The sequence below is a fragment of the Homo sapiens genome, chromosome X (assembly GCF_000001405.40).
Source record: "Homo sapiens chromosome X, GRCh38.p14 Primary Assembly".
Lineage (NCBI taxonomy): Eukaryota > Metazoa > Chordata > Mammalia > Primates > Hominidae > Homo > Homo sapiens.
Window position 1 is genome coordinate 120,871,045 of NC_000023.11, and position 8,337 is coordinate 120,879,381.

Below are 8,337 nucleotides of genomic sequence, written 5' to 3' on the forward strand. Positions count from 1 at the left end.
CAGGTTCAAGCGATTCTCCTGCCTCAGCCTCCTGAGCAGCTGGGATTGTAGGTGTGCACCACCACACCTGGCTATTTTTTGTATTTTTATTAGAGATGGGGTTTCACCATGTTGGCCAGGCCTATCTCGAACTCCTGACCTCAGATGATCCACCCGCCTGAGGGTGGGATTACAGGGGTGACCCACTGCGCCCAGCCGCAAATATGCTTGTCTTTCGAATGCACACTTTTCTGTATGCTACATTTGTATGCATCTCTTACATGCACACCTTTTAGTCTCTCTCTACTTACCCACAATCAATTTATGGTGGTCATTTTTATGTTTTCCTAGAAGTCATATACATGGTACTATGTTTGTATCCTTTTGGACCTGACTTTTTCCTTTATGCATTTTTCCCCTCTAGGCCTCAGCCCCTGTGAGTTCTACTTTCCTCCCCAGCCCAGCCCTTGCTGTCCCTTTCAGTTTACCTGAAACAAACCCAAGCTAGTGAATTAAGGCTGGTCTGACAGGAGGTGAAGCTCAACTTCTTTCTCTGTTGCTTGAAACCAGTGGTTCTCAAACTTTAGTGTTCATCAAAAGCTCTTAGAGGGCGTGTTAAAACACAGATTGCTGCCCCCACCCCCAGAGTTCCGATTCTGTAGTTCTTGGGTGGAGTCTGAGAATTCCCAGGTAATGCTGATGATGCTGTTTGGGAACAAAACTTTGAGAACCACTGCTTTAGATCAAAGGCTGGGCCCAAGCTCAGCAATACCATGTGGCCTCCAGGCAACCTGGGCCATCCATGAAGTTTTCTTCAAAACCATGCTCTAGAGCAGTATTGTCCAATAGACATATAATGTGATCTACATTGGGTAATTTTAAATGTTCTAGTAGCCTCATTAAAAAAATACAAAGAAACCAACAAAAACTTTAATATTTTAATTCAAGTATTATTTCAATGTGTAATCAGTATAAAAAACATGAGTAAGGCTGGGCGTGGTGGCTCAACCTGTAATCCCAGCACTTTGAGAGACCGAGGTGGGTGGATCACGAGGTCAGGAGATCGAGCCCATCCTGGCTAACACGGTGAAACCCCGTCTCTACTGAAGATACAAAAAATTAGCTGGGCATGGTGGCAGGCGCTTATAGTCACAGATACTCGGGAGGCTGAGGCAGGAGAATTGCTAGAAGCTGGGAGGCGGAGGTTGCAGTGAGTTGAGACCACGCCACTGCACTCCAGCCTGGGTGACAGAGTGAGACTCAGTCTCAAAAAAAAAATTAGTAAGATATGCAATATTATTTTCACACTTACAGCACATATTAAATCAGACTAGCCATATGACAAGTGCTCAGTAGCCACAACACACAGCTCTAAAGATGAGCCCCATCTCTCTCTTTCCAAAAATTGTTTTAAACTTGTCATTTTACTTGATTTTTGGCAGCAGTAAAAGAATTTCAAACAGTCTTACCAAGTGGTGGAAAGTAACACCTTTCAATGAAGGTATGGTGGGCCAAAACAAAGACTTAAAAGAGAGATTTGAGTTAGGATTATTTATTGAAAAATCTTCCCACGTTTCAGTTTATTCATTGAAAACAAACTTTTATTTTTAACTTGAACAAACACTGTCACATACATCCATGAAAGTTAGATGTCACTGGATATCACTTTTGATGTAACGAACTTTGGAATGATATGTGTTACAATTCCCACAGGCATCTGAAAAAAAAATAAAACAATGAACAACAGAGTCTTCTTTTCCTCCCAACTGTGGGATGAAATGAGAGAAAATAAACAATAGTACAACATTAACCAGCACCAGTGACTTTCTAAATAGAAGAAAATGGCCAGCTCTGTGTATATCTGCAACATTTGTGTGCTATATCTTAAACAGGTAGAGAAGCCCATCTTTTCCTTTTGTAACTCACGAGCTTGGATATCAGGGTGCTTGTGGAACTGAAGGTTTCAGTCAAATGATCACACCAACCTTGTCTGCCTAGCACTAGAAAAGCTTGTTGCTTTTGTTTTTACATGAGGGGCCATTCTGGGATTTAAATAAATCTCTCAAGCTTCAACAGCCTGTGCTGGTTCCACAAATGATACTCCCTTACCCTCCCAGACCCTTGGTTTCCGTATCTACCATGTGGGAAAGAAGCCGTTACGAAATATACGGCTGTGAAAATGCAAAATAAATAAGAAAGAAAGAAAAATGTTAACCATTTAAATATACTCAAAGACAGATATACCTTAAGACTTCATTACCAATTCAGTGATAAACACACATTCTTTTCATCTGACTGTGACATAAAATACCAAAATATATAGCTAAATAAATATATAGGTATTAGTCATTAATTGTGGTCCTACTTGAAATTCTTAGCTTTTTGCTATTTTTAAGTAGTCACTTTGTAAAAGGCATTGAGTTGTCTCCTAGTTACTACGGGAGCCTGCATTTCTGTGGTCAAGTAATGAAGGCCCAACTAATGCGTGGCCCAGCCAAGTTAGCGGCTGTGTCTGGCAACTGTTTTCTACACAAATATTGGTCCTGGTAGTAGGTCTGATACATCTGCCACTTGTTAGTAGTCTTGCAGCTAGAGGACAAAAGACCTCAACATGAACAAATGAGTAGCCAAGAAGTATATTTCAGAACACACTGCAGTTCATATTACTAGGTACATGAATATTCTCGTAACATTTTAAGTAAGTTAAATTGAATTTTTAAACTAATTTTAAACTTTTTCTTACTTAACTTACTGAGAATTTTTGTTGTTGTTCAATAAAACTGTCTGCAACAGGTAAATGCCAGGAATAGTTGACTGATTCTCAAAGCTATACACAGATACCTGGATTTTCTTGGCTTCACCTCTGCTGCGTCTAGGTCCCTTTGGAGTTCTTCACCTTGTTTTCCACATCCTTCTCTTTTTCTTGTTCTTTCTCTTCCTCGCCTGCAGCATCTTGGGCCTCTTCATCCCACTTTTCGGGCTGAGATTTAGTGACTTCTTTAGGGAAGAATAATACACACATGGGGACCAGACATTCACAGAAAATATAGCCCAATTTATAACTAGCAGCGGCATTCAGTTACTCCACCCTCAGGAGAAGCAGGATAGAGTTAAGTAAGAAAGGAATAGCTGGGCACCTTCCTACTGGTTTTCACAACAGTTCCATGGCCCTCACGTTGCTGCTGCTTGATCATTTCCACAGGGACACTGTATTTCCCTTTTTTCCAGTAAATCTCCCACCCAAAGCGGCTGATTATTTCTAGTTCTTTGGAGAAGAAGAGATCTGAATCATCGGGTCTGATCTCATTCTATGGTGTTTTGGTCAGAACTTTGTTGGGAAAATATTTGTTTACCTCAAAAGACAAATTCTATGGTGAAGCTCATTGGTTCCTCACCCCCTGAATGTTTCATTTTTACCAAGTGCTCCTGTATCACTTCATCATTTGGGGGATCAACTTTCTACGAATCTTTACACTTTGAAAAGCCATGAACCAAAAAGCACGCCTGCCTCCCATTTGCCTGTTCTTTTCCTTCTGTTTCCTGCGGAGCTCCCTCCTGAACCCCTATCTACCTGGCCATTCATCTGCAGGCTCGCAAATGGCATCGATGATCTCAGATCTCCTATCAAATATAGGTTGGTAGAGGGCGGCAAGTTTTCTCAAAACCATAGATGTCATTAGAGAATTGGGCTTCGACTCACTGGGACACATTCAGCCTTAAGTTTCAGGAGGGCCCCAACACCTGCTTCACCACCCGAGGCCCCGACCCCCCTTCACCACCCGCTTCACCAGCTGTGCCCGCACCGCAGCCCTGCCCAGAGCCCTTGGACACATGGATCCCCGCTTCCCCGCTGCTGCCGCTAGCCCCCTTACCCTCGGGGGCCACGGCCTCCTCTGAGGTCGGTTCCTCTGCGGCCGGTTCCTCTGTGGCCTCCTCTGTGAGCTTCTCCTCTGCGGCCTCCTCTGGGGGTTTCTCATCTGCGGCCTCCTCCGCGGGCTCCCTGGCCATCTCGGCCAGGTCAGCTGGCACTGCAGGCTCTGGGACCGACGCGGCCTCCTGGACCGACGCAGCCTCCTGGATCAGGCCGAGGCCCTCGCCTTCTGGGGCTGCAGCCCCTGCACCCAGCCTCTGGGACAGCAGCAGCAGGGGAGGGTTGTCCCAGAGGTTGGGCACAGCAGCGTGGGGCCCCACCATCAGGCGGCTGAGGTGACGGTTCGCTATCTGGATGTGGTCGTTGTGATAGAGGCGGCGGAGAAGGGAGTGGACCAGGTACAGGAACACGAAGCCAATGCCCGCCGCCGGGTACCGACGGGTGGCCACCGCCAAGTCGAAGTTGGCCGCCTCGTTCCCCTCTTCCTCCTCCTCCTCTTCCTCCGTCGCGGGCCCGATATCTGAGTCCTCCTCGGCGCTCCCGCCCTGGGGGACTGCGGCCAGGCCTGCCGCCTGCTCACCCTCCTCCTCCCCGAGGCCTTCCACGGGCCCTGCGACTCCGACCACCTCGGCCGCAGGCACCATGTCGCTGCTGTCGGGGCCGGAGTCGCCGCCCTCCTGGTTACCAGCTCCGGCCGCCTCGGCCTGTGCTCCCTCCTGGCTTACCGGGGCCTCCTGGTCCCCTTGGGTCGGGTGTCGGTCCCCTGTGGCAGACATGACACCAGCAGCGCCTCAACTGGGGTGGCGAGCGGGCTGAGGCGACCACGGTGAAGACGGTGACCACTGAGGTGGCTACGGCCGAGGGGAGGCGAGGAGCTGGCCGCTGAGGGAATAAGAGTCTTTCTCTTTATTGAGGAAATAAGAGTCTGTCTCAGAGGACACCCTAAGGTGGGAAGGGCAGGGAGCGAATCCTAGGAACCTCCCACCAAGTCTGGCCTGAGAGGACTTAGATAAGGCGGGAAAGATTCTGGTTGGCAGGAGACAGGGGGCGGGACCGGAAGGGTCAACGAGGGGCTCTCAGTGAGCCCTAAGCTCATTTGCTGAAAACTTCAGATTGACATGCTCTTTGTCCAATGAATGATCAAGGCCCTTAAGCTCTAGGACAACTCAGAATCCAGAATCCAGAGCTTTTCCTTTTCTTTTTTTTATTTTTATTTTTTCAGACGGAGCCTTGCTCTATTGCCCAGGCTGGAGTACAGTGGCATGATCTCAGCTGACTGCAATCCCCGCCTCCTGGGTTCCAGTGATTCTCCTGCCTCAGCCTCCTGAGTAGCTGGGACTATAGGTGCATGCCACCACGCCCGGCTAGTTTTTGTATTTTTAGTAGAGACAGGGTTTCACCATGTTGGCCAGGATGGTCTCGATCTCCTGATCTTGTGATCCACCTACCTCGGCCTCCCAAAGTGCTGGGATTACAGGCGTGAGCCAGTGTGCCCGGCCGAGCTCCACCTTTTCTTTGAGGCCTTAGTGTCCAGGGCTACCCTTTAGGTCCACACAAGTCCTGCCCTTTTAATTTTATGATTATTAGCAACACTATAGTAGTCCCATGTGGAGGCACCCTGGAGCATGGGAACTGCAAGGCGGTCACAGAGTTCACTTATTTCCACCTAGTAATGGCTCATGCCAGTAGAGATAGTGTCATAAAAATGTTATATAGTTCATAGCTAAGCAGTAGTGAAAACCTCCCAAGAGACATAAGAATTTCACTGAGTTAACGTAGTTAAAGCTACTTAGAAAAGAATGTGCAGAGTTGAAATGGATGCAGTCATCACTGAGTGTTGAGGTGGTAAATGACAGACACTGGAAGGTGTTTAATGAATCCTGCCAAATTCACTTCAAACCTCCAAATAATGGGGAAAAAAAGAGATACTTTTTTTAAAAGGACCAGGTCATCTCATAAGAGCTAAGCATCAAAAACACCAAAAGTGCCTGGGGGTGGTGGCTCACGCCTGTAATCCAGCACTTTGGGAGGCCGCACTTTGGGAGGCCGAGGCAGGCAGATCACCTGAGGTCAGTAGTTCGAGACCAGCATGACCAATATGGTAAAACCCTGTCTGTACTAAAAATACAAAAAATTAGCTGGACATGGTGGTGCGCGCCTGTAGTCCCAGCTACTCGGAAGGGTGAGGCAGGAAATTTGCTGGAGCCTGGGAGGTGGAGGTTGCAGTGAGCCAAGATGGCCCCACTGCACTCCAGCCTGGGTGACAGAGCGAGACTCAGTTTCAAAAAAAAAAAAAAAAATTAGTAATATATGCAATATTATTTTCACACTTGCATCACATATTAAATCAGACTAGCCGTATTACAAGTGCTCAGTAGTCACAACACACAGCTCTAAAGATGAGCCCCATCTCTCTCTTTTCAAAAATTGTTTTAAACTTGTCATTTTACTTGATTTTTGGCTGCAGTGAAAGAATTTCAAAGAGTCTTACCAAATGGCGGAAAGTAATATCTTTCAATGAAGGTATGGTGGGCCAAAACAAAGACGTAAAGGAGAGATTTGAGTTAAGATTACTTATTGAAAAATCTTCCCACGTTTCAGTTTATTCATTTAAAACAAACTTTTATTTTTTAACTTGAACACTGTCACATACATCCATGAAAGTTAGATGTCACTGGATATCACTTTTGATGTAACGAACTTTGGAATGATATGTGTTACAATTCCCACAGGCATCTGGAGAAAAAGATAAAAACAATGAACAACAGAGTCTTCTTTCTTTTCCTCCCGACTGTGGGATGAAATGAGAGATGATAAACAATAGTACAACATTAACCAGCACCAGTGACTTTCTAAATAGAAGAAAATGGCCAGCTCTGTGTATATCTGCAACATTTGTGTGCTATATCTTAAACAAGTAGAGAAGCCCATCTTTTCCTTTTGTAACTCACGAGCTTGGATATCAGGGTGCTTGTGGAACTGAAGGTTTCAGTCAAATGATCACACCAACCTTGTCTGCCTAGCACTAGAAAAGCTTGTTGCTTTTGTTTTTACATGAGGGGCCATTCTGGGATTTAAATAAATCTCTCAAGCTTCAACAGCCTGTGCTGGTTCCACAAATAATACTCCCTTACCCTCCCAGACCCTTGGTTTCCGTATCTACCATGTGGGAAAGAAGCCGTTACGAAATATACGGCTGTGAAAATGCAAAATAAATAAATAAATAAGAAAGAAAGAAAAATGTTAACCATTTAAATACACTCAAAGATGGATATACCTTAAGACTTCATTACCAATTCAGTGATAAACACACATTCTTTTCATCTGACTGTGACATAAAATACCAAAATATATAGCCAAATAAATATCTAGGTATTAATCATTCATTGTGGTCCTACTTGAAATTCTTAGCTTTTTGCTATTTTTAAGTAGTCACTTTGTAAAAGGCATTGAGTTGTCTCCTAGTTACTACGGGAGCCTGCATTTCTGTGGTCAAGTAACGAAGGCCCAACTAATGCGTGGCCCAGCCAAGTTAGCGGCTGTGTCTGGCAACTGTTTTCTACACAAATATTGGTCCTGGTAGTAGGTCTGATACATCTGCCACTTGTTAGTAGTCTTGCAGCTAGAGGACAAAAGACCTCAACATGAACAAATGAGTAGCCAAGAAGTATATTTCAGAACACACTGCAGTTCATATTACTAGGTACATGAATATTCTCGTAACATTTTAAGTAAGTTAAATTGAATTTTTAAACTAATTTTAAACTTTTTCTTACTTAACTTACTGAGAATTTTTGTTGTTGTTCAATAAAACTGTCTGCAACAGGTAAATGCCAGGAATAGTTGAGTGATTCTCAAAGCTATACACAGATACCTGGATTTTCTTGGCTTCACCTCTGCTGCGTCTAGGTCCCTTTGGAGTTCTTCACCTTGTTTTCTGCATCCTTCTCTTTTTCTTGTTCTTTCTCTTCCTCGCCTGCAGCATCTTGGGCCTCTTCATCCCACTTTTCGGGCTGAGATTTAGTGACTTCTTTAGGGAAGAATAATACACACATGGGGACCAGACATTCACAGAAAATATAGCCCAATTTATAACTAGCAGCGGCATTCAGCTACTCCACCCTCAGGAGAAGCAGGATAGAGTTAAGTAAGAAAGGAATAGCTGGGCACCTTCCTACTGGTTTTCACAACAGTTCCATGGCCCTCACGTTGCTGCTGCTTGATCATTTCCACAGGGACACTGTATTTCCCTTTTTTCCAGTAAATCTCCCACCCAAAGCGGCTGATTATTTCTAGTTCTTTGGAGAAGAAGAGATCTGAATCATCGGGTCCGATCTCATTCTACGGTGTTTTGGTCAGAACTTTGTTGGGAAAATATTTGTTTACCTCAAAAGACAAATTCTATGGTGAAGCTCATTGGTTCCTCACCCCCCTGAATGCTTCATTTTTACCAAGTGCTCCTGCATCACTTCATCATTTGGGGGATC

At 45.1% G+C, this 8,337-nt stretch overlaps 2 protein-coding genes across 3 annotated transcripts in view; both read right to left on the reverse strand.

Moving 5' to 3' along the window:
- Positions 1-1,562: 1,562 nt before the first annotated feature.
- Positions 1,563-4,822, reverse strand: CT47B1 (cancer/testis antigen family 47 member B1). Of its 2 annotated transcripts, none has more exons than XM_017029734.3 (3): positions 3,852-4,822; positions 2,821-2,973; positions 1,563-1,696 (listed from the first exon to the last, which is right to left on the reverse strand). In XM_017029734.3, exons 1-2 carry the CDS (start codon positions 4,624-4,626, stop codon positions 2,852-2,854), a joined length of 897 nt encoding a protein of 298 aa, XP_016885223.1. In that variant the 5' UTR covers positions 4,627-4,822; the 3' UTR covers positions 1,563-1,696; positions 2,821-2,851. The 2 variants fall into 2 exon arrangements, with proteins under 2 accessions (XP_016885223.1, NP_001139190.1); NM_001145718.3 differs by having other exon boundaries at positions 2,821-2,976.
- Positions 4,823-6,445: 1,623 nt separating this feature from the next.
- The window catches only part of CT47A12 (cancer/testis antigen family 47 member A12), a 54,812-nt gene continuing 52,920 nt past the window's right edge, over positions 6,446-8,337 (reverse strand). Inside the window, exon 3 of the mRNA NM_001242922.2 lies at positions 6,446-6,586. The gene's annotated coding sequence lies outside the window, so the exon portion shown is untranslated. The remainder of the gene's footprint in view (positions 6,587-8,337) is intronic.